Source organism: Homo sapiens, chromosome 7, assembly GCF_000001405.40.
Source record: "Homo sapiens chromosome 7, GRCh38.p14 Primary Assembly".
NCBI classification, from domain to species: domain Eukaryota; kingdom Metazoa; phylum Chordata; class Mammalia; order Primates; family Hominidae; genus Homo; species Homo sapiens.
Window position 1 is genome coordinate 33111682 of NC_000007.14, and position 25693 is coordinate 33137374.

The 25693-nt window shown below is 39.5% G+C and overlaps 1 protein-coding gene across 19 annotated transcripts in view, besides 3 other annotated features; it reads left to right on the forward strand.

The window, feature by feature from the left end:
- Window positions 17296-17345: an enhancer, noted in NCBI's record as "active region_25834". NCBI's record gives its function as "activates an Ori minimal core promoter by ATAC-STARR-seq in GM12878 lymphoblastoid cells {active_cell/tissue: GM12878}" and the evidence as "EXISTENCE:reporter gene assay evidence [ECO:0000049][PMID:35858748]".
- Window positions 17486-17785: a silencer, noted in NCBI's record as "silent region_18091". NCBI's record gives its function as "represses an Ori minimal core promoter by ATAC-STARR-seq in GM12878 lymphoblastoid cells {active_cell/tissue: GM12878}" and the evidence as "EXISTENCE:reporter gene assay evidence [ECO:0000049][PMID:35858748]".
- BBS9 (Bardet-Biedl syndrome 9) overlaps window positions 17604-25693 on the forward strand; it is a 506483-nt gene continuing 498393 nt past the window's right edge. For 15 of the 19 annotated variants that reach the window (NR_145413.3, NM_001348041.4, NM_001348038.3 and 12 more), the window contains exon 1: window positions 17883-18360. The gene's annotated coding sequence lies outside the window, so the exon portion shown is untranslated. Of the gene's footprint in view, window positions 18361-25693 lie in introns of all 19 variants that reach the window. The other 4 variants (NR_145412.1, NR_145411.1, NM_001348036.1 and 1 more) reach the window with 2 other exon arrangements.
- Window positions 17836-17945: an enhancer, noted in NCBI's record as "active region_25835". NCBI's record gives its function as "activates an Ori minimal core promoter by ATAC-STARR-seq in GM12878 lymphoblastoid cells {active_cell/tissue: GM12878}" and the evidence as "EXISTENCE:reporter gene assay evidence [ECO:0000049][PMID:35858748]".

Here is a 25693-nt window from a genome sequence, read left to right on the forward strand (position 1 = left end):
TCTGGGGCAAATATTTGGCAACTGAGTTGACATTTCTCCTTCTCTTCCTTGCTACCAGCTTTGATTTTGTTCAGGAATCATACAGGAAGCTGGTTAGAGAGTGGAGGCCTCTTCATGCCTCTCTAGAGGTGAGTCTTGACTTGTCTTAAGCCAGTCATTAGTAATTTTGTTCTCGTTTCCACTGATTGTTTTAGCAATGGACCTGTGGTGCAATTTTAGCCAATGAGGTATGAGGAGAGGTCGGATGGAGGTGGCTTTCAGGGTAAGGTTGTCTTTGCTCTTAATAAATGATGCTTGGGAGTGTCAAAGATCCCCTTTCTGCCTCCAGATGTTGTTGCCTGCAACCCCCAGAGGATGGCAGAGGACAGAAGGAGACCCCTGGGTCCTTGGGGATGTGATAGAGACATTTGATCAACCAGTCCTGGTGTTGCTACCTATCCATACTTCTCATTCTGGGAGATAGTACATTTCTTTATTATTGAAGTGATTTTGAGTTGGGTCTTCTATTACTCACAGATAAATATGATTCTTTACATTTATATAGTGCCATGCAGATCTCCCCCTGCCCCCATATGTTCTCCCAGTTGATTTTACAGAAACCCTATGGGGGCATGCAAGACAATGTAAGATAAGGAAATTGAGGCTCAGAAGGAGAGTGTGGCCCTGCAACCAAAATGGTCTGATTTCTAGTCCAGAGTTTTTCATCAACCCTCATGAATTTAGGTGTGTGGGAATAGTGGGAGTGGGAGAATCTCTTGGAAACCCTTGGAGAATCTCTTGGTAAAGAAGAGGATAGGAAGCTGCTGGAAACAAATTTCCCTGATGTCCCATTGGCCTCAAATCGGCTCAGATGGACTTTTGGGGATGTTTTTTCATTCAATTTATTTATTTAATAATTAAAAACAATACAGATGGGGCCCTGCTATGTTGATGGGGGTGAGGAGGTATTTTTCCTCAGCTGGCCTTTTCCCTCCCCTCCCCTCCCCTTCCCTTCATTTTTTTGAGACAGGGTCTCACTCTATTGGCCAGGCTGGAGTGCAGTGGTACGATCTCTGCTCACTGCAACCTCCGCCTCCCAGGTTCAAGGGACTCTCGTGTCTCAGCCTTTCAGGTAGCTGGGACCACAGGCGTGCGCCACCACGCTGGGCTAATTTTTGTATTTTTAGCAGAGACGGGGTTTCACCATGTTGGCCAGGCTAGTCTCGAACTCCTGACCTCAACTGATCTGACTAAGGCTGGTCATTTCTTTAGCCATCCTGTGTGTGCCAAGCAAAAGTTAACAACTGGCATAGCTTAGCCTCCAGGGTTTACTGTTCTCAAAACCACAGTAGTTTTCTGATTCACAAAACTGCCTTTATTTCAGACTCAATGAAAGGTGGAAACCTTTTTTTTAGGGCCTGGCCTTAGTGGATTACGTTGGATTTTACCATTAACACTTGAGGTTCCTGTACTGTCTGAGGGGCATTTGACAGAACCTGGTTTACTGACTTTGATTCAGACCAGTCCTTTTTTCAGATCCCTTTCTCCCCGCTCTTCCATGCTGCTTCCCATGCCCACCTTGGCCTCAGATTTTGCTGTTCCTCTCATTGTGTCCTTCTGTCTGATTTTACCACATTTTCTGGTCCCTGCCTCTGCATTCTCTCACTGATTGTTATCTTGTTTTTCTCTCCCTGCCATCTTTCTCTCTCATTTCCCCTCTTTTTCTTATTCCGATAACCTTTCATTCCTTCTAGTCCCTGTCTCACGTTTGTGTGAAAGTTAGTTATACAAATTGGGTAATTTTTGTCATACTCAAGTAAAAGAGAATCAAGGGGTCAGGGGGGAAAAGCACTTGTGGTCACAGGACCTGCTCCAAGAATTAAATTTTCCAGAAGCCCAGCCGCTAAAATGGACTGCTGTAACTCTAAGATCAGTTTTACCTGGTAGCTGCTGAAACGGCCTGCCCTGGCTCTGCGACTGGTTTTAACTGCTGCAGTCACTCGTCTATCAGAGCTTGCCGGCTCCCAAAAGCTTGTTTAGTGCCAATGAGCTTCCTTCCTTCCTTCCTTCCTGCCTCCCTCCTTCTCTCCCTCTCTCCCTCCCTTTCTCTCTCCTTTCTTTCCTTCCTTTCCTTTTTTTGACAGAGTCTCACTCTGTCACCAGGCTGGAGTGCAGTGGCGCAATCTTGGCTCACTGCAACCTCTGCCTCTTGGGTTAAAGTGATTCTCTTGCCCCAGCCTCCCGAGTAGCTGGGACTACAGGCGCGTGTCACCATGCCCAGCTAATTTTTGTGTTTTTTGTAGAGATGGGGTTTTACCATGTTGGCCAGGCTGGTCTTGAACTCCTGACCTCGTGATCCGCCTGCCTCAGGCTCCCAAAGTGCTGGGATTACAGATGTGAGCCACCACGCCCGGCCTGAGATTTCTTTCAAAACACTACATAACATTTGTCTTTCTTTCTTATTTATTTATTTTTTAATTATTTATTTATTTTTATTTTTTTGAGATGGAGTCTTGCTCTGTTGCCCAGGCTGGAGTGCAGTGGCGCAATCTCGGCTCACTGCAAGCTCTGCCTCCCAGGTTCACGCCATTCTCCTGCCTCAGCCTCCCGAGTAGCTGGGACTACAGGCGACCCGCTACCAAGCCCGGCTCATTTTCTGTGTTTTTAGTAGGGACGGGGTTTCACCGTATTAGCCAGGGTGGTCTGGATCTCCTGACCTCGTGATCTGCCCGCCTCAGCCTCCCAAAGTTCTGGGATTACATGCATGAGACACCATGCCTGGTCAACATTTCTCTTTCTGATAAAACTTTCAACCTTCTCTTTGTTCATCTCACATACCAAAGACCACCTGGTCTATGTGTATGCCCCGAATTGTGATTATTGCTTCCCTAATAAAACGTTTTAACCTTAGAGATTCATCTGTCTATAATATTTGACTTAAACATACTTGGTGTCAGAAGCATGGATCCAAAGCTGCCTTGCCTTGGGGAAAATCCCAGCCTCTGGACTATGATGAGATGTGCCTACACTCGAACCCCTGGAGCCTCCTGCTTCCCTAAGCTGCCTCTTTTCCCTTTGGTGAGTCTCTCTTTGACCAGACTTCTGACTTTGGTCAAATGGTGTTTTATTTGGAATTTGGTTGAAGAGAGCCTTCCCCGCTTTTTTTCCGAGAGGCATCTTTCCTCCTCTGTTTGGGAGCTCTCCTGCTGGGAGGGGTCATCATCTTCCTGTCAGTCTCAGCTGGGAGGTTTAGGTGTAGGGATTTCCCCTTATTTGGAGAAGGCGGCTTATTGTCCTTCTTGGTAAGTATGTATTTTATTTTCTGTCTGTGTGGCTTTGGTGTATTCAGTCCTTGTGTTTTAATTTGTTTTTGTGCATTTGGCAATAAAATGAATCATCTAGATCAATTTAGTTAGAAATGGGAAGTCAGAGTTTCACAGCATGCCAAAATATTATCTGGGACTCCAGCTGGTAACATGTTGAAACATTATGGGATCATTCAGACAGTCTATTATTCTTCAAACTAAACTAAGACACCAGCAATAAAATCATACACTTCAAATAATACTTATATCTCAATTGATATCTTGAGGCTCAAAAAATTCTCATGACTCAAAGATTGCCTTTTTATAAAACACTGGCACAAAACTGGCAGAGACTTTTTTTTTCAGGATCTTTTTCTACAATTGCTTCTATCCTTCTCTAAACTAAACTGTTTCTTCCAAAACTCCTCAGCTATTGTGACATACTATTTAAGTAACAACACAAGAAAACCAACAGATTCAAAAGAAAATCATTTTGACCCTTGTGCTGTTTCTTAAGAACAAAAGATGGAATTCCCATATAAAGGAAGTCTTCCCTATACTAAAAGGAATGGCAACATTTTTTTTTTTAAAACCTCAGACTGGCAACGGGTGGCACATCTCACACACCTGTGTGAGCACGCAATCATCATGAACTACAAAAAGGTTGAGGAATGGCAGCATTCTCATCTTCAAGGACAAATAATATGCTGTGCAGACCTTGTTAGAATAACTCTTATCTTTTGGGCCTCTGACATAATCCAGTCACAGTTTCACAGCTAATTTTTATTTGTCCAATCTGGTAATTGACTTAAACTGCTCTACGCAAAATTTGGTTCTCCACCTTCATATTATTACCTATTTAAAAAGTCTTAAAGGTTAGCCTTATCTGATTTTTTCAGAAACATGATTTGGATCCAACTGTCTTTTATAAACTTGTGAGTCCATATATATATATATATATATATAATTTTTATTTTTAATTTTTGTGGGCACATAATATGTGTTAATATTTATGGGGTACATGTTTTGATACAGGCATGCAAAACTTAATAATTAAATCATGGAGAATGGGGTATCCATACCCATAAGCATTTATCTTTTGTGTTACAAACTCTTTTAAAGTGCACAAATAAGTTGTTATTGACTATACTCACCATGTTATGGCGTCAAATGGTAGGTCTTATTCATTTTTTCTATTTTTTTTTGTTTTTTATTTTTCTTACCCTTTAACTATCTCCACCACCTCACTGTGCTTCCCAGCCTCTGGTAACCTTCCCTCCTCTCTATATCCATGAGTTCTATTGCTTTGATTTTTAGATCCTACAAATAAGTGAGAACATGCGATGTTTGTCTTTCTGTGCCTGGCTTATTTCACTTAACATAATGGTCCCCAGTTCCATCTATGTTGTTGCAAATGACAGGATCTCATTCTTCCTTTATGGTTGAATAGTACTCCATTGTGTATATGTACCACATTTTCTTTATCCATTCATCTGTTGATGGACACTTAGGTTACTTCCAAATCTTGGCTATTGCAAACCAACATGCAAGTGCAGATATCTCTTCGACATACTGATTTCGTCTCTTTTGGGTATATAGCCAGCAGTGGGATTGCTGGATCATATGGTAACTCTATTTTTAGTTTCTTGAAGAACCTCCAAAGTGTTTTCCATAGTGGCTATATTAATTTACATCCCTTCCAACAGTATATGAGGGTTCCCTTTTTTCCCACATCCTCGCCAACATTTATTATTGCCTGTCTTTTGAGCATAAGCCATTTAACTGGGGTGAGATGATATCTCATTGTAGTTTTGATTTGCATTTCTCTGATGATCATATGCCTGATTGCCATTTGCATGTCTTCTTTTTAGAAATGTCTATTCAAATCTTTTGCCCATTTTTAATTGGATTATTAGATTTTTTCCTATAGAGTTGTTTGAACTCCTTATATATTCTGCTTATTAATCCCTTGTCAAAAGGGTAGTTTGCAAATATTTTCTCCCTTTCTGTGGGTTGTCTCTTCACTTTGTTAATTGTTTCCTTCTCTGTGCAGAAGTTTTTTTTAACTTAATGTGTTCCTGTTTCTCCATTTTGGCTTTGGTTGCCTGTACTTATGGGAGTTAACTCAAGAAATTTTTGCCCAATGTCCTAGGTATGTTCCCCAATGTTCTGTGTAGTAGTTTCATAGTTTGAGGTCTTAGATTTAAGTCTTTAATCTATTTTAATTTGATTTTTGTATATGGCAAGAGACAGGAGTCTAGTTTCATTCTTCTGCATATGGATATTCAGTTTACCAAACACCATTCATTAAAGAGATGGTCTTTTCCCCAGTATATGTTTTTGCCACCTTTGTCGAAAATGAGTTCACTGTGTATGAGTTTATTTCTGGGTTCTCTATTCTGTTCCATTGTCTGTGTGTCTCTGGGCCAGTACCATGATGTTTTGGTTACTATAGCTCTGTAATTTAATTTGAAGTCAGGTAATGTGATTTTTCCAGTTTTGTTCTTCTTGCTCTGGATAGCTTTGGCCATTGTGGTCTTTTGTGGATCCACGTAAATTGTAGGATTGTTTTTCTATCTCTGTAAAGAATTACATTGGTATTTTGATAGGGATTGCATTGATTCTGTAGAATGCTTTGAGTAATATGAACGTTTAAACGATATTGAGTCTTCCAATACATGAATGTGGAATATCTTTCCATTTTTTTTCTGTCCTCTTCAATTTCTTGCCTCAATGTTTTATAGTTTTCTTTTTCTTTTCTTTTTTTCCTTTTTCTTTCTTTCTTTCTTTTTTTTTTTTTTTTTTTTTTTTTTTTGAGACAGTCTTGTTCTGTCGCCCAGGCTGGAGTCCAGTGTCACAATCTCGGCTCACTGCAACCTCCACCTCCTGGATTCAAGTGATTCTCCTGCCTCAGCCTCTTAAGTAGCTGGAACTGTAGGCATACACCACCATGCCTGGTTAATTTTTGTATTTTTAGTAGAGATGGGGTTTCACCATGTTGGCCAGGCTGATCTCAAACTCCTGACCTCAGGTGATCCACTTCCCTTGGCCTCCCAAAGTGATGGGATTACAGGCATAAGCCACCACGCCTGGCCCATAGTTTTCATTGCAGAGATCTTTCACTTTGGGTAAGTTAATTCCTAAGTATTTAATTTTATGTGTGCTATTATAAATGGAATTCCTTTTTGAATTTATTTTTCAGTGTTCACTGTTGGCATATAGAAATCCTACTGATTTTTGTATGTCGATTTTGTATCTTACAACTTTACTGAATATATCAGTTCTAATAGTTTTTGGTGGAGTGTTTAGGTTTTTCCAAATATAAGGTCATATCATTTGCAAACAAGAGTAATTTGACTTCTTTCTTTCTAATTTGGATGCCTTTTATTTCTTTCTCTTGTCTGGTTGCTTTATCTAGGACTTTCAATACTATGTTGAATAATAGTGGGCATCCTTGCTGTTTTCCAGATAATAGAGGAAAGGCTTTCCATTTTTCCCCATTCAGTATGATACTAGCTATGGGTCTGCCGTATACGGCTTTAATTATGTTTAGGTATGTTTCTTCCTTGCCTAGTTTTTTGAGGGTTTTTATCATGAATGGATGTTGAATTTTATCAAATGCTTTTTCAGCATCAATTGAAATGATCATATGGTTCTTGTCCTTCATTCTGTTGATATGATGTATCACATTGTTTTACTTGCATATGTTGAACCATCCTTGCATGCTAGGGATGAATCCCATTTGGTCGTGATGAATATCTTTTAATATATTCTTGAATTTGATTTGCTAGTATTTTGATGAGGATTTTTACATCAATATTCATCAGATATATTGGCCTGTAGTTTTCTTTTTTTGATGTGTTTTTGTCTGGTTATCATATCAGGGTACTGGCCTCATAGAATGAGTTTGGAAGTATTTCCTCCTCCTCTATTTTTCAGAATACCTTGAGTAGGATTGTTATTATTTCTTCCTTAAATGTTTGGTAGAATTCAGCAGTGAAGCCACTGGGTCTTGGGCTTTTCCTTACTGGGAGACTTTTTTATTATGGCTTAAATCTCGTTACTTGTTATTGGTCTGTTTAGGTTTTGGAGTTCTTCATGGTTCAATCTTGATAGATTGTATGTGTCTAGCAATTTGTACATTTCTTCTAGGTTTTCCTACTTATTGGCATATATAGTTGCTCACAGTAGCCACTAATGATCTTTTTTTTTGCTTTTAAGGAGTGGAGAGTTTAATAGGCAAGAAAGAAGGGAGAAGAAAGAAGCCCCACTAATGATCTTTTGAATTTCTGCAGCATCAGTTGTAATGTCTTGTTTATCCTCTCTGATTTTATTTATTTGGGTCTAATCTCTTTTTTCTTTTTCTTTTTCTTTTTTTTTTTTTTTGAGACAGTGTCTCGCTCTGTCTCCCAGGTTGAAGTGCAGTAGTGTTATCTTGGCTCACTGCTACCTCTGCCTCCCAGGTTCACGCCATTCTCCTGCCCCAGCCTCCTGAGTAGCTGGGACTACAGGTGCCTGCCACCATGCCCGGCTAATTTTTTTTTTCGTATTTTTAGTAGAGACGGGGTTTCACCATGTTAGCGAGGATGGCTCTCTTTTTTTCTTAATCTGGCTAAAGGATTTTCAATTTCATTTATCTTTTTGAAAAACCAACTTTTCATTTCATTGATTGCATTGTTTTCTTCATTTCAAAATCATTTATTTCTCCTCTAATCTTTATTATTTCTTTTCTTCTACTAATTTTGGGGGTGGTTTGCTCCTGTTTTTCTAGTTCTTTAAGATGCATCATTAGGTTTTTTATTTGAAGTTTTTCTACTTTTTTGATGTAGGCACTTTTTATTGTAAACTTCCCTCTTAGTACTGCTTTTGCTGTATCCTATAGGTTTTGGTATGCTGTGTTCCCATTTTCATTTGTTTCAAAAAATTTTTCAGTTTCCTTCTTAATTTCTTCATTGACCCACTGGTCATTCAGGAGCATATTGGTTAATTTTCATGTATTCATCTAGTTTCCAAAATTCCTCATTATTATTATTATTATTGTTATTATTATTATTTTTTTGAGATGGAGTCTCGCTCTGTCACCCAGGCTGGATGGAGTGCAGTGGAGTGATCTCTGCTCACTGCAAGCTCCGCCTCCTGGATTCATGCCTTTCTCCTGCCTCAGCCTCCCAAGTAGCTGGGACTACAGGTGCCTGCCACCACACCCGGCTAATTTTTTGTATTTTTAGTAGAGACAGGGTTTCACTGTGTTAACCAGGACGGTCTTGATCTTCTGACTTTGTGATCCGCCCGCCTTGGCCTCCCAAAGTGCTGGGATTACAGGTGTGAGCCACCACACCCAGCCTCCTCATTACTGATTTCTAGTTTTATTCCATTGTGTTGAGAGAAGATATTTGATACATTTTCAATTTTTTGAAATGTTTTAAGACTTGTTTTGTGGTTTAACATGTGGTCTATGCTTGAAAATAATCCTTATGTTGAGGAGGAGAATGTGTATTCTGGAGCTATTGGATGAAATGTTCTGTAGGTATCTGTTAGGTTCATTTGTCTGTAGTGCAGATTAAGTACAATGTTTCTTTGTTGGCTTTCTGTCTGGATGATCTGTCTAATGCTAAAAGTGGGGTGTTGATGTCTCCAGCTGTTATTTTTGGGGAATCTACCTCTCTTTTTAGCTCTAATATTTGCTTTATATATCTGGGTGCTCCAGTGTGGGGCATATATATATTTACAAATTATTATATCCTCTTGTCAAATTTACCCCTGTATCATTATATGATGAACTTCTTTTTCTTTTTTAATAGTTTTTGTTTTGAAATCTATTTTGTCTGATATATAAATCTATTTTGTCTAATGTAATAGACAAAATAGTATAGCTACTCTTGTTTTTTTTTGGTTTCCATTGGCGTGGAATATCTTTTTCCCTATCTTAATTTTCAGTCTTCGTGTGTCTTTACAGGTGAAGACTATTTCCTGTAGGCAACAGATCAATGTATCTTGATTTTTTAATCCATTCAGCCACTCTATATCTTTTGATTGGAGAGTTTAGTACATTTACATTCAATGTTACTTTTTTCTACTTCTTTCCCAATATTTGTACAATGTTATGATTGATAAGTGATAAGTTACTGCTGCCATTTTGTCATTTGTTTTCTGGTTGTTTTATGATCTTTTCTTCCATCTTTCTCTCTTTCTTGTATTACTTTTAGTAGGTATCTTTGATCTTTGGGAGTTCGAATATTAAATGCCTTGAAGTAGTCTTCTTTGGGTTAAATCTACTTGGTGTTCTATAATCTTCTTGTACTTGATATTGTTATCTTTCTCTAGGTTTGGGAAGTTCTTTGTTATTATCCCTTTAATAAGCTCTCTACCCCTGTCCCTCTGTCTACCTCTTCTTTAAGGCCAATAACTCTTAAATTTGCTCTTTTGAGGCCATTTTCTGGATTCTGTAGGCGTCCTTTTTTTTTCTTTTCTCTCACTGACTGTATTTTCAAATAGCCTGTCTTCAAGCTCACTAATTCTTTCTTCTGCTTGATCAATTCTGCTATAAAAAGACATAAATTCTTTTGTATGCCAATTGCATTTTTTCAGCTCCAGAATTTATGCTTAATCTTTTTTAATTATTTCAATCTCTTTGTAACATTTATCTGATAGGATTCTGAATTCCTTCTCTGTTTTCTTGAATTTTTTTGAGTTTCCTCAACACAGCCATTTTGAATTCTCTGTCCAAAAGTTCACATATCCATTTTTCTCCAGGATAGGTCCCTGGTGCCTTATTTAGTTCTTTTGGTGAGTTCATATTTTCCTGGATGGTGTTGATGCTTGTAGATGTTCTTTAGTATCTGGGCATTGAAGAATTAGGTATTTCTTATAGTCTTTATAGTCTGGACTTGTTTGTACCCATCTTTTTTGGGAAGGCTTTCCAGATATTTGAAAGGACTTGGGTGTGTTGTGATCTTAAGCTTTATTTGCTTTAGGCGGCAACTCATGCACAGTAATCCTGTGGTTCTTGAAGACTTGTAGAGGTACTGCCTTGATGGACTTGGGCAAGATCCAGGAGATTTCTCTGGATTACCAGGCAGAGACTCTTATTCTCTTCCCTTACTTTTTCCCAAACAAATGAAGTCTCTCTCTCTGTTAACTGAGCCACCTGAAGCTGGAGGTAGAGTGACACAAACACTCTTGTGGCCACCACCACTGTGACTGCACTGGGTCAGACCTGAAGTCAGGACAGCACTGGGTCTCACCCAAGGCCTGCTATAACCACTGCCTGTCTACTTACCTATGTTCACGCAAGACCCTAGAGCTCTACAGTCAGCATGTAGCAAAGCCAGCCAGGCTTATGTCCTTCCCTTCAGAGCAATGAGTTCTCCCAGATTCTTGTGAGGGTGCTGTCAGGGAGATAGGGACTACAGTCAAAAATCTCAGAGTCTACTTGGTGTTCTATTGTACTGTGGCTGAGCTGCATCAAACCACAAGATGCAGTCCTTCCCACTCTTTCCTCCTCTTTCCAAAGGCAGATGAGCCTCACCCTGTGGCCACCACCACCACAGGCCCGTGGAGAGTATTGCCAGACTACCGCTGATGTTCCCTTAAGGCCCAAGGGCTCTTAAGTCAGCTTGTGGTGAATTTGCCTGGCCTGGGTCTCACCCTTCAGGGCAGTGGGTTCTCCTTTGACCCAGGGCAGGTGCAGAAATACCATCCAAGAGCCAAGTCTTGGAATTGGGGACCCCATGAGCCCGCTTTGGGTTCTACTCACCTCTGGCTGAGCTGGTACCTAAGGTGCAAGACAGAGTCCCTTTACTCTTCCCTCTGCTTTTCTCAAGCATGAAGACTCTTGCTCCATAGTAACCACATCTGCAATGTGCTGAGTCTCACCTCAGCCAATAATGAAGCCATATAAGTCTCAGAGTATCACCGAAGGCCCTCAATGTAGTACATGTGTATTACTGCTGGTTGTTTAGTGCCCAAGGGCTCTTCAGTTAGCAGGTGATGAATCCTGCCAGAACTAGGTCCTTCCCTTCAAGGCAGCAGGTTCCCTACTGGCCCACGTTGTGTGTAGAAACACCATCTGGGAACTAGGGCCTGAAATGGGGGGTGGCCTCATGACTCTGACCAGTGCCTTATCCTGCTGTGACTGAGCTAGTATACAGGGTGCAAGACAAAGTCCTCCCCATCCTTCCCTCTCCTCTCCTAAAGTGGAAGGAAGGAGTCTCTTTTGAAGCCACAAGCTGTGCAGCCTGGACTAGGTGAGAGTTGATGCCAGCACTCCCACAACTGCCCTGGCTGGTGTCTCAGTAGGCCATGTGCCCCCTGAGTCCACTGGCTCTGGGCCCATTTCAGCCCTAGGACTCACCTAGGAGTTGTGGTCCTTGTGGCCTAGACTGCCTTTCAAGTTTACTTACAGCCCCAAAGTACTTTAGATCATTGTCATGATACTTGAGGGAACTCAACTTCTGACTGCTGGGATTGGTGATTTCCTGTTGGCTAGGGCTGCTTTAAGTATTTTCTCCACGGGCAGGTGTCAGCTGAGTTTTGTCCAGTTTTCCTTTCTGCTATAACAGGGCAGCACTGAGTTCAGCGCCTTAAATTTGCTGCATTCCCCCTTCCCCAGTGCACAGAAATGCTCTTTACACCATGCAACCATTGCTGGGGAGTGTGGGAGGAGTGGTGTTGGCAATTCAAGACTTTTTTCTACTTCTTCTGTGCCTCTTTCAGCAATATTAAGTTAAAACCAGGTACTGGCTGGGTGTGGTGCTCACGCCTGTAATCTCAGCACTTTGGGAGGCCAAGGTGGGAGGATCACTTGAGTTCAGGAGTTTGAGACCAGCCTGGCCAACATGGTGAAACCTCGTCTCTACCAAAAATACAAAAAATTAGTGGGGCGTGGTGGCATGTGCCTGTAATTCCAGCTACTCAGGAGACTGAGGCAGGAGAGTCGCTTCAACCTGGGAGATGAATGTAGCAGTGAGCCTAGCTTGTGCCACTGCACTCCAGCCTGGGTGACAGAGTGAGACTCTGTCTCAAAAACAAAACAAAACAAAAACAAAACCAGGTACTGTGACTGTTCACCTGATTTTGCTTCTCGTGAAGGTGCTTTTTTCTGTGTAGGGAGTTTTAAATTGCTGTCCTTGTTGGGGGATGCTTGGTGCAGGCTTCTATTTTGCCATCTTGCTCCACCTCTCATCTGAGTTTATATAATTTACTATGTCATGATTAAAAATCTAAAATAAAAGCTATAAGAACTTTATTTCTACTTATGGAAACATGTTTAAATGTGTTTATGCATGTCTACATGTGTTATGTGGTGTGTTTACATAATAAAGTCTGTCATAGCCAAAAATCCATGAACATTTTATTAAGTGAGAAAAATGAGGGCTCATATAAAATATATAGCAAATAACCCTCCCTTTTTAGTTTATGTGACTTAACTAAATATTTCATTAATTAATTTGTTTTAAAATTGTCAACATACATTTTTGCCTAGGTTTACTGGTCAGATCTTTTTTTTGAGAAGGAGTCTCGCTCTTTCACCCAGGCTGGAGTGCAGTGGCGCAATCTCGGCTGACTGCAGGCTCTGCCCCCCAGGGTTCACGCCATTCTCCTGCCTCAGCCTCCCTTGTAGCTGGGACTACAGGCGCCCGCCACCTAGCCCGGCTAATTTTTTGTGTTTTTAGTAGAGAGGCGGTTTCACCGTGTTAGCCAGGATGGTCTCGATCTCCTGACCTTGTGATCCGCCCGCCTCGGCCTCCCAAAATGCTGGGATTACAGGCGTGAGCCACCGTGCCCGGCCTGGTCAGATCATTTTATATTTGTTTTTGCTAGACGTTTTAAGGTCATGATGCTATAAACCCAGTCTAAAACAGAATGACCTTGTTGTGAAATTCCTTAATATATAAGATTAATTTAATGTTGTTGATATACTTAAAACAGCTATATCTTCTGAGTTATCAACAGGATACCCATGTATTTAACTTTAAAGTTTTTACTTAGATAAATACTTGATATTAACAGATATGAAACTTGTTAATAAACACAACAATGACTAGCTTTGTCTTATATTTCAGTTTTAAGAAGTAATCTAGATGTAATTGATAAAAAATAAATTAGTTAATTGTAAATAGAATAAATATTTATAAATAAAATTTTTATGTAATTTAAAATCCTGAAGTTATATTATGTTAAATAGTAGATACGATGTCTGGATCACATCCAAATAAGATAAAAATGGAAACAAACCACTGAATAAATATAAGTTCATTTTTGGCTTTTTAAAGTTTATAAAATTATAAATATATTTATATCTATTAATCAAAAATGAATTTAGGAAAAAATACTTTTGTATGATAAATAATCTTGAATAGTAAATTTTAGTCCTATAAAATAATTGGCTTTTTTAAAAAATGAAAAATGGTAGGACAAAGACTTGGGGGTTAAAAAAATGAGAAAATGTCTAAGCAAGTCAAAGAGCATTTATGAATAATAGGCCTGTGAGAAAACTTTTATGAATGATCAGGTTGGCCAGAATTAAAAATAAATAGTTTATAAGTGGTTTTCTAAAATTTAAACATTAATGTTGGAGGTGCACTGATACAGGACCAGAGCCTGGTCCTCCATTTTTAAAACAACATTTTCTTGAAGTATTGATCTGCTCCTGATAAAATTGTAAGAAGCTTTCATTTTGAATTCTAAAATCTATTTCTTTAACTGCTATCCCCTAAACTGCAGGCAGTTTCTATTTCTGCCACCTTTTTTCACTGAGATTCATTTAATTTCCCTAGTTTCACATTAAAAATGCTGTCTTCTTCATTTAAAATAATAATTTCTTTGCTTTTTTTTTTGAGATAGGGTTTCACTCTGTCATGCAGGCTGGAGTGTAGTTGCACGATCATGGCTCACTGCAGTCTTGACCTACTGGGCTCAAGCAGTCCTCCAACTTCAGCCCCCTTAGTAGCTGAGATTAAAGGCACACGTAACCACGCCCGGCTAATTTTTGTATTTTTTGTAGAGACAGGATTTTGTCATGTTGCCCAGGCTGGTCTCGAACTCCTGGGCTCAAACGATCTGCCCACCTCGGCCTCCCAAAGTGCTTGGATTATGGACATTGCACCCGTCTGGTAATATCATTTCTTGAGGTAGAGTTTTGCTTTTGAAATTTCTCAGATTTCGTATCTCAGTGGTTCAAATTTGCCATGTCTTGCTATTTGATTTCCAGGTCATATATCATTGCATTCAGGTTTTCTCCTCTTTAGAAAGCCTGGGATGGTAACTCTCTCCTTCAATTTTTTCATCAGTTGCTATACAATTTTTTTTTTTTGGTTCTAATTGCTGGTATGGCCTGACACTAAAGGTTTATCCTGAAGGCCTAGAAATCAATGCTCTTTTTCAATATAACTTGATTCTGTACTCTTGGCTTTTCTTGATACATGTGAATTGTTATAATCATGACCTGGGACACATCTTCCTGTATCTGATTAAATTCAAGTACCCTTTTCATCAGATTCGACCTCCAGGTTATCTAAATGAGCTCCCCAAAAGGAGAAACAATCACATTGCAGAAAGTTTTTCTTTACTTTTTTGGTACCTGGCCTAAGGAAGATTATACATTTTATCAACATAATTTCCTGTGTTGCTTTTATTAGATTTGATTTTTTTTTAACCTGAAGTTTAAAATGGTTAAGATAGTTTTAATGTAATTATTTGTATGGCTTTTTAAGCCTTTTGATTATCACTCTGGTTATATAAATGACTTATTTCACAAGTAACTTGTGATTCTGTATTGATACAGTGTTTTGAGCCCTTTAAAAACTTCCTCAAAATCAAATTCCAATTTAAGTTTTTTAAATGTAGAATTAACTTTGGAATTTTCCAGTTGGACTCCTGGAAAGCATTAAAACATATCTTTCTCATCTTTTAGAGGTATTAAATGATTTGGGTTATTTGGTAAATTTTATAAGAAATATTGTCAAACGATAACTGATACTAGATTTTTCTTTTATTTGCATTTATGGGAATATTGTTTATATGAATGTTTGAAAAATTATATAAGTCCATACAAGTATGCTGGGAATGATGGCTCATGCCTATAATCCCAACACTTTGGGAGGCTGAGGTCAGAGGATTACTTATAGCCAGGAATTTGTGTCCAGCTTGGGCAACAAAACAAGACCCTGTCTCTATTAAAACAAAACAAAACAAAACAAAAACAAAAAAAACCAAAAAAAAACCAAGCATGGTGGTACAAACGTGTAGTCCCAGCTACTTGAGAGGCTGAGGCAGAAGGATTGCTTGAGTCCAGGAGTTTGAGATTGCAGTCAGCTATGAATGTGCCACTGCACTCTAGCCTGGGCAATAGAGCAAGACCCCATCTTTAAAAAAAATTCGTACAAATGTATTATATTACCAGTCATAATTCTGGTTATCTTAAAATACTGTATATAATAGCAATAAATAAATGTTCTTCTCAGTTGTTAACTTCATCAGATTTTTAACCATGGCTATTTTAAGTTTTTGTCATCCATATTATTGTTTTGAATTCTTTTTTAAAAAACAGACTCCTGGAAAATATTCTAACAAGTACTCTTTTATTTTTATTTATTTATTTTTGAGACAATCTTGCTCTGATGCCCAGGCTGGGGTGCAGTGGCACGATCCTGGTTCATTGCAACCTCTGCCTCCCTGGTTCCAGTGATTCTCATGCCTCAGCCTCCTGAGTAGCTGGGATTACAGGCATGCGCTACCACGCTGGGTTAATTTTTTGTATTTTTAGTAGAGATGGGGTTTCACTATATTGGCCAGGCTTTTCTCCAACTCCTGGCCTCAAATGATCCTCCCGCCTTGGCCTCCCAAATTGCTGGGATTACCGGCATGAACCATTGTGCCTGGCCCTAAAATATACTCTTAGATTTGGGTTTCTAACAACTTGAAGATCAATGGACAATATAACAATTTCCAGAACTGTAATAAAAAAGTGGGTTCATGAAACTATTAATCAAGATCAGGCAGAACAAGAATTAATTACGTGAGTTTAACTAATGAAGACAATGTTTTTATGATATTATTTCAAATGTTGTTGGTTCTTTACTCAAATAGTTTTTTCCAGATTTAAGAAAATCTTGTCTTTTAAGCTATTTATAATTTACAGCAATTTGATAGAGTATACTTGTGTAAAAAAAGATAAAAACTTTTTTTCTCTTTACTTGATTCCTCCATAATTAGAAAACCATTTGTGAGTCTTCTTATGGTAATATGGTCATTTCAATAAGTCTAATAAAAATCTGCTCTCTCTGTATAGCAGAATACAATTGGAAACTGGTTATATTACCAAGGCTTTGACTGAAAGGTCATTTTTAAAAATATTGAGGCCGGACGCGGTGGCTCACGCCAGCAATCCCAGCACTTTGGGGGACTGAGGTGGGTGGATCGTTTGAACCCAGGAGTTCGAGAGCAACCTGGACATGGCGAAACTCCATCTCTACAAAAAATACAAAAATTAGCCAGGTGTGGTGGTCTGTGCCTGTAGTCCCAGCTTACTAGGAAGGCTAAGGTGGGAGAATCGTTTGAGCCCGGGAGGCTGAGGCTTCAGTGCTTCAGTGAGCAGTGATCCTGTCACTGCACTCCAGTCTAGGCGACCCTGTCAGGGAGACCCAGTCTCAGTTAAAAAAAAAAAAAAAACCCAAAACCCAAAAAACTAAAACTAGAATGGTATTTTCTACTGGGAATGTGGATTTGTGGATTGATGGTGAAATACTGGAAATTTAAAGCCTACACTAGAATCCATTGAAAAAAGCAAACAAGAAAAACTTCAAGGTTGGCTACATTGAATTTGAATGTAAAGATTAAAAAAAAATAAGTAAAAAACAAAAGAAGACATAGATCCAATCCCATATACCAGGAAATGCACTCTAAGGTATATACGGAAAATATATTTAACACATGTGTATCAGGACGCAGGCACAAGTAACTTCAAAGCAGCGCTGTTTCAAATAGTAAAAAAAGGAAAAACTGGAAACTGTTCAAAAGCTTCATCATCTCGATGATCTTGGTCTTCCGCCTCGCCTTCTTCTCCAAGGTGAATATGTACTGGGCCAGCACCACCCCCGCCACCAGGGCGCACACGCTGGCGCTCGCTACCGCGACCACCCTCGCCACGGTCGCGCGGTGCATGGACGGGGCCCTCATGAGTGTCCCGGCAGGAAAAAAACACCGCGATTGGGACTCTCAGAAGCGCAGGATCCCAGAGCACCATGGACAAGCCAGTGACGCCCCGCCCCCACTAGGCCCCACCCACACGCACCGAGGGGAGAGGGCGGTCACGCGGCCGGGGGGGCGTGGCCTGCCCCCGGAGCCCAGGCAGGAGGAGGGTCTTCCTTAAGGAACTGCTGCCAGGACAGGGCAGAGGATTGCAGTAATTATCACTCTCTGCTAATGAGGACCAGGCCGTGGTTCACTCGAGCCCCGCCCCAGTAGCAATCTAATTCCAACCGCGGCCCTCTCAGAAGTCGGTCCCCGCCTTTGCGCCTCAGCCTCTCTGGACTCCAGCCCCCAGAAGTCGGCGCGGCACGGCGTGACCTGCGCAGTGGCGTCCGTTGTAAGTGCTATGACAACAGGGCGAAGATGGCTCAGAGTTAGGCTGGAGAGGGGAGGTGTCCCTTCCGCTGCGGCCGTCGGGTTTCTGCTACATCCCATTCACCGCCTCCTCCATCCTTTCCTCCTCGGTGTGAGCAGCAGGACTTGCATTTGTTCTCGCCTGCCTAGTGTCTTCCAAGGGATAGATGCCGTTTCCTCTGCTGGTCTCTGGGGGTGACGGGGGGCGCAGGGGAGCTTCTTGGGGGAATCACTCCAACTCTGTGGAGCTGGTGGTGCTGCCTGGTGGGGCTCTCTCTTTGCCCGGGACGTGGAACAACTTTCAGCTGGAGGACGAGAGGGAATAGTGAAGCTAAAGGTTGCTTTTCTCTGCACCGTCCGTTCTTGCTCCCTCTGCTCCATCACTGGGACCTTGTCAGGCGTTCATAAAGCAAAATTTGCCGAACGAGGGTTCGCAGAAAGGTGGGGCAGAGCTCATCTGACGTGGCATCAGGTAAGATGGTATGTCTGTTGTTAAACTTCGGGTACATGAATACCCTTTCCATGTTTTATTTTGTGAACAAGATTCTCTAATGCAGTATAATGGTTTGGAGTCTGTAAGGTGATTGATTTCTTAGATGTTTGCACTGAAATAAACAAACACTAGGAGCACAAAGTGTATGAGATTCTGTGAGTACTTTTGAGAAAAAAGGGATGAGAATTTTTAAGGATTCCATTGAGGAATGTCACTTGGAGCATGAGCATCCTCCTGAGACACTTCAACAGGTCTGTGAGTAAATGGGCAAAGCAGTTCCCAGCCTACGACTGAAGTAGGATGCATGTACTAATACCCCCAATCCTTCTAGTAATAGGATTATTGTTTCTCCTCTTGTTACTTGGAGACCACAACAGTTTAGATGAGCTGCGCTGATTTTATCAGCACCTCCTGCCAGTCAAATCCTGCCTTTGACTTCAATTTCCTGGAGAAATGTATTTTTTTGGGTATCTCACTTTTACTTTAAAAATGAAACCGTATCTTACAGGTATACACATCTTACATGTCCTCATTGATAAACAACTTGAAAGATGCTGCAGGATAAGCTATGGGTCTTAAGTTGGCCAGCATTCAGAGAAAGATTTTCTAACTTATTAGCATTTTATAAAGAAAACAATTACTGAGATTTTTTTCATGAATATACGGAAGAATTAAAAAAAAAACTAGAAAACCCAGAAGTTTTTAAAGAAGAATTTTAAAAAACTTTATTTTGAAAATAAGTTACAAGTTATTTGTCAGAGTTTAAGGGATTTTTCCTTGTGTGTAATTGTCGTGGTTAAATTACAACTATACACTTATATTTATGGTACAACTTCTTGATAGAAATGCTCACTGAAGGGAAAAAATCCAACAGCAATAGTATATATAGTAATTTTAAAACTTTTACACCTTTTGAGGGATGTAGTAAGTCTTACGCTTTAGAATACTTTGAAATATTTTTGAAAATTATTAAAATACATGAAATTATTATAAAACATCCCTGCTGGTTAATAACATTTCCATTAGTGATTACTATCAGTCTTTGTGAGTCCCATTTAAAATTTCGGTCCAGAGGGTGAGTTTGGCATTCGTAATTGTGTCTTGCACAGAACACACTACCACCGTCTCTTTCAACTACCACTACTACCACTGTCTCTCCTACTAGCACTGTTTCTACTGTTGGGTTATTACTGACATCTATTGAGTACTTGCTATGGGTTGAGCCATTTTATCCTCCTCCACCCTAGAACAATTGAGATACTAGAGGATAAGGGACTTGTTTAAGATCATGTAGTGTAACGTGGTCAGAAAGTGCACCCAGAGCTGTCCTACTCCAAATTTTGTGTTATTTTGCCCTTTGAGTCTTTTGTTGAAAATTCCAACAGTGAGCCCTTGTATTATTGCCTTCAAAAGCAGTATACTTCTTTTGAACACTACATGCATTTGTCATCTTTCTTTGACTGGAAGACCTGATTTCTACTTTCTTAAATTTGGTGTGACACTGGCATAACCTGGAGAAAGCAAAGCTCTGAAAATGAACAACAGCTGCAAGGTCTGTTTCCAGAACTGACCTTCAAACCTGTATGTTTTTTCCACAGCATTCTTTGGGGTTATTGTTTTCACAGCTGATCATATTGTAGGACTAGGTCAATGAGGTGTTCAAGACCAGCCTGGGCAACATAGTGAGACCTCGTCTTTGCCGAGCATGGCAGAAAAAATAAAAATTATTAAAACTTTTTAAAATATTAAAAAAAGAACAATAGCAAATTAAATTCAGAAGGTCAGCAAAAAAAGGTCAGCCACCTCTTAAATGAAACCTAAATCTGAGTAAACTTGTTGTAGAAAAAAAAGTATTCAAAACAAAAAAGTGTCAAGTGAAGAGTATAGAAGAGAATTTCTGGAGTTTAGGGGATAAGGAGATTATCTCCCATTTATTATTCTAATAAGGCATTAGAAACTAATCTGTTATGCCTGTTTATAGGACTGCACCTGTTACAACCTTCAAATTATTGTCTTCTAATCATCCTTTAACAATTTAATCAAATTTATGACATACTTGCCTGTAGTTTGAACTTGTAGTGTTTAGAATTAGTGTGAATAGAGCTATTGCTTTTATAGTCTACATGGAGGGGCGTGTGCATAGGCCGTTTGTTTAGGGTTCTGGAGTAGACAGTCTGGGTTTAGGTACCGCACATCACTTAACTAGTGAGACCACTGGCACGGATTTCTTAACTTCTCTGTATTCAAGGATACCTGAATAATAGTATCTACAATTTACTTTGTAGTTTTGTTATGAATATCAAAATAGAATGCTTGCAAAGCATTTAGAATCCTGACTGGCTTTAGTAAATGATTAGTAGATACTTTCCTTTAAGGCGAAGTCATTAAAAACCTGGTTTTTATTTTCCAATTACTTAAAGACAAATCAGTGAGCAACTGGAAATCAACACTGAATGAAAAGGGGATAAAATGCAAACCTCGGTTCCTTATTCAAGACAGTTAACTAAACTGAATTAAAAAAACATTGTATACATATTTTATTTTTTGTTATTTAAAACACTTTTTGTTTATTTTGTAACCCAAAAGCCAGGTTTCATGACCAAAAAATGTTTTATTACTATTGTTCCTTACCATCTTTCCTAACCTGTCAGTACCAGACCTCCCACACCTACCTGCTTATCTTAATATCTCAATGTCAAGGCCTATATCTTTCCTAGATTGGAATACAGATTAGCATTTTATTTGTGTCTCAATTTATGGCTAATTTTTCATTTTCTTGATGACTTGGGATGTCTTCCAGGAGAAAGGGCAGAATTTATTTTGCTGACCTTCTGAATTTAATTTGCTATTGTTCTTTTTTTAATATTTAAAAAAGTTGTAATAATTTTTATTTTTTCTGCCATGCTTGGCAAAGATGAGGTCTCACTATGTTGCGCAGGCTGGTCCTGAACTCCTTAGCTCAAGTGATCAATCCGCCTTGGCCTCCCAAAGTGCTGGGATTACAGGTGTGTGCCACCACACCTGGCCTAATGGTAAATGTGGCCAAAATACAGGAGTGTTCTGCTTTAAAAAAAAATGAAAGTTTATGGGGAATTTGAAGCATAACCAAAAGCATGAAGAATAACAAAATGAACCCCCATGTATCCATCATCATTTGTTATCTTTAAAAAAAAACAGCTTTGTTGAAATACAATTCAAATACCATACAATTCACCCATTTAACACATAAAATTCAGTTCCTTTTTTGTATATTCACAGATACATGTAACCATTACCACAGCCAAGTTTGGAATATTTTTATCAACTCAAAAAGAAACCTCGCATCCCTTAGCTATAACTCTCCTTCTCTCTTCCTTCTCCCCTACCCCCAGACCTAAGCAACTAAGAATCTACTTTCTGTCTTTATGAATTTGCCTATCCTGGATATTTTATATAAACAGAATCATATAATAGGTGGCCTTTTGTTACTGGCTTCTTTAACTTAGCATGTTTTTAAGAGCCAGATATGTCTGATTCTAAAACCTATATGCTTTTATTTATTTATGTTGTAACATATATCAGTATTTTGTTCTTTTCTTTTTTATGGCCAAATAATATTCCACTGTATGGATGCTTCCTTTTGTTTATATATTCATCAGCTGATGGACATTTGGGTTGTTTCCAAATTTTAGATATTATGAATAATGCTACTATAAACATTTATGTGTAAGTTTTTTTGTATGCACATATGTTTTCATTGCCCTTGGATAGATACTTCAGTGTCAGATTGCTGGGTCATATGGTAATTCTGTGTTTAAGTGTTAGAGGAACTTCTAGATTCCTTTCCAAAGTGGTTGCATCGTTTTGCATTCTCACTAGCAGTATATGAGGGCTCTGATTTCTTTACATCCTCACCAATGCTTATTACTATCTGACTTCGATTCTGTCATAGTAGGTGTGAAGTCATATCTCATAGTTTTGATTTGTGTTTCCCTAATGACTAATTATGCTGAGCATTTTTTTTTTGAAACGGAGTTTTGCTCTTGTTCCCTAGGCTGGAGTGCAATGGTGTGGTTTTGGCCCACTGCAACCCCTGCCTCCAGGTTCAAGCAATTCTCCTGCCTCAGCCTCCCAAGTAATTGGGCTTACAGGCACCTGCCATCACGCCTGGCTATTTTTTTTTTTTTTTTTTTTTGTATTTTTAGTGGAGATGGGGTTTCACCATGTTGGCCAGGCTGGTCTCGAACTTCTGGCCTCAGGTGATCCACCCACCTTGGCCTCCCAACGTGCTGGGATTACAGGCGTGAGCCACTGCGCCTGGCCTTGAGCATCTTTTTATGTTCTTATTGGCCATTTGTATATCTTACTTGGAAAAATACCTATTCAGACCCATTGTTCATTTTTAATTGACTTTTTTAAATTACTGAGTTGTATGAGTTCTTGTATATTATCAGATACATGATTTGCAAATATTTTCTCCCATCATTTCATCTTCTTGATGGTGACCTTTGAAACCTAAAAGTTTTTAGTTTTGATAAAGTCTACTTTATTCATTTATTTTGTTTTTTTGAGATAGAGTCTCACTCTGCTGCCCAAGCTGAGAGGTGTGGTGGCATGATTTTAGCTCACAGCAACCTCAAACTCTTGGGCTCAATCCTCAAACTCCTGCCTCAGCCTCTCAAGTAGCTGGGATTATAGGCACACACAACCATGCCCAGCTTATTTTTTCTTTTTTGTATAGATGCGGTCTCGCTTTGTTGCCCAGGCTCTTCTCAATCTCTCAGGCTTAAGCAGTTTCCTTGCCTCAGCCTCCCAAAGTGTTGGGATTACAGGCGTCAGCCACTGCACCTGGCTTTATTTATTTATTTTGAGACAGGGTCTTGCTCTGTCATCCAGGCTGGAGTGCAGTGGTGCAATCATGGCTCTCTGTAGCCTCAGCCTTCCAGTGTCAAGCAATTCTCCCACCTTAGCCTCCCCAGTAGCTGGGACTACAGGCACACACCACTGCACCTGGCTAATTTTTATATTTTTTGTAGTGATGGGGTCTCATCATGTTGCACAGGCTGGGCTCAGACTTCTGGCTCAAGCAGTCCTCCTGCCTTGGCCTCTCAAAGTATTGGAATTACAGGCATTAGCCACCATGCCTTGCCCTTATTTATTTTTTATTGCTCACGTTTCTGGTGTCAAATCTAAGAATCCATTGCCAAATCTGAGGTCATAAAGATTTATTTATATAGTCTTCTAAGAGTTTCAAGAGTTTATAGTTTTAGCTATACATTAGCTTATACTTAGATCTTTGACATATTTTGAGTTAATTTTAAAAATATTATTCGAGGTAAGTGTCCGATTTCATTCTTCTGCATGTCACTATTCGGTCATCTTAGACCCATTTGTTGCAATTACTCTTTGAATGATCGTGGCACCTTTGTTGAAAATCAGTTGATCATAGATGTATGGGTTTATTTCTGGACTCTCAGTATTTTCCATTTATGTTTATGTCTATCCTTATGCTAGTGCCATACTGGCTTAATTATTGTTGCTTTAGTAAGTTTTGATATGGGGAAGTGTGAGTTCTCTACCTTTGTTCTTTTTTAATTTTGAGATTGTTTTTGCTATTCTGGGTCCCTGGAAATTCCATACAAATTTTAGAATAACCTTGTTGATTTCTACAGAGAAGCCATCTGGGAATCTGATAGGGATTGCATTGAATCTGTAGATTGATTTGGGAAGTATTGCCGTCCTAACAATATTGAGTCTTCAGATCCATGAACATGAGATGTTTTCCATTTATTTAGATCTTCTTTAATTTCTATAACAATGTTTTCATAGTTTTCAGAGTATAAGTTTTACACTTCTTTTGTTAAATTTATTCCTAAGTATTCTTTTTTTTTTTGTTTTTTGAGATGGGGTCTTTCTCTGTTGCCCAGGCTGGAGTGTAGTGGTGTGATCACAGCTCACTGTAATCTTGAACTCCTGAGCTGAAGTGATCCTCTTGCCTCAGCCTCCTGTGTAGCTAGTATTACAGGTGCGCACCAGCATACCTGGCTAACTTATGTATTTTACTCTTTTGGGTGCTATTGTAAATGTAATTATTTTTAAAATTTCATTTTGGATTGTTCATTGCAAGAATATAGAAATATCATGGATATTTGTATATTTATTTTATATCCTGCAACCTTGCTTAACTCATTTATTAGTTCTAATAGTTTTTTCCCAAATTCCTTAGGATTTTCTATATACAAGATTATGTCATCTGTGAGTAAAGATAGTTTTACTTCTTTTTTTCCAATTTGGAAGCCTTTTATTTCCTTTTCTTACCTAATTGCTATAGTTGAGAGCATCCAGTATGATTTTGAATAGAAGTGGTGAATGCAGACATCCTTGTCTTGTGCCTGATCTTAGGAGGAAAGTGTTCGGTTTACACTATTAAGTATGATGTAAGCTGTGGATTTTGCATAGATGTCTTTTATCAGTGTGAGGAACCTTCTATTCCTAGTGTTTTGAGTGTTTTTTTATAATGGAAGAGTTGGATTTATGGAGGTGATCAAGTGGCTTTTGATTTAGATTGTATTGATTTTACATTAACTCATTTCTGGATGTTAAGGATGCCTACCTTGCATTCCTCAGGCAACACCATTTAGTCATGTTATATAATACTTTTTATATATTATTGGATTCAATTAGCTAGTAGTATTTTGTTGAGGATTTTTGCATCCATATGCATAAGGGATATTGGTCTATTGTTTTCTTGTGATGTGTTTGGTTTTGGCTCAGGGTAATTAGATTTATAAAATGAGGTGGGAAGTATCCTCTCCTCTTTTATTTTTTGGAGTGGTTTTTGAAGAATTGGGATAATTTTGCTTTAATTGTTTAGTAGAGTCCACCAGTGGATCTGTCTTGGCCTGGCCTTTTCTTTGTGGATAGTTTTTTGATTACTAATTCAATTTCTTTATTTATTATGGATCTATTTAGATTTTTTATTTCTTCTTGAGTCAGCAGAGGGTCTCCTCTGTTCTTGGGTGTATCAGTGGATTATACCCAAGCCCTCAGCTCCTCCTGGGTGTCCTTCCTGTGCTGTCGGTGCCCAGAGTCCGGAGGGGACCGAGGTGTTAGGGGACTGGTGTATCAGCACTGCCCTGAGCGCACACACACCTGGCCGGGTTGCGACAGCACCTGGGCTCGGCTTCAACTTTGGTTCGAAATTGGAGTGGGCACTGGGAGTTGGGAGAGGCCAGGGAGCGGGAGTGGGCACTTCCAAACTGCAGGGGCAGGGGTGCTTCCCGGGCCCCCGACAGTGCAGGGATGCTTGGGTCTGGAGCTGTGATTGGGTAGC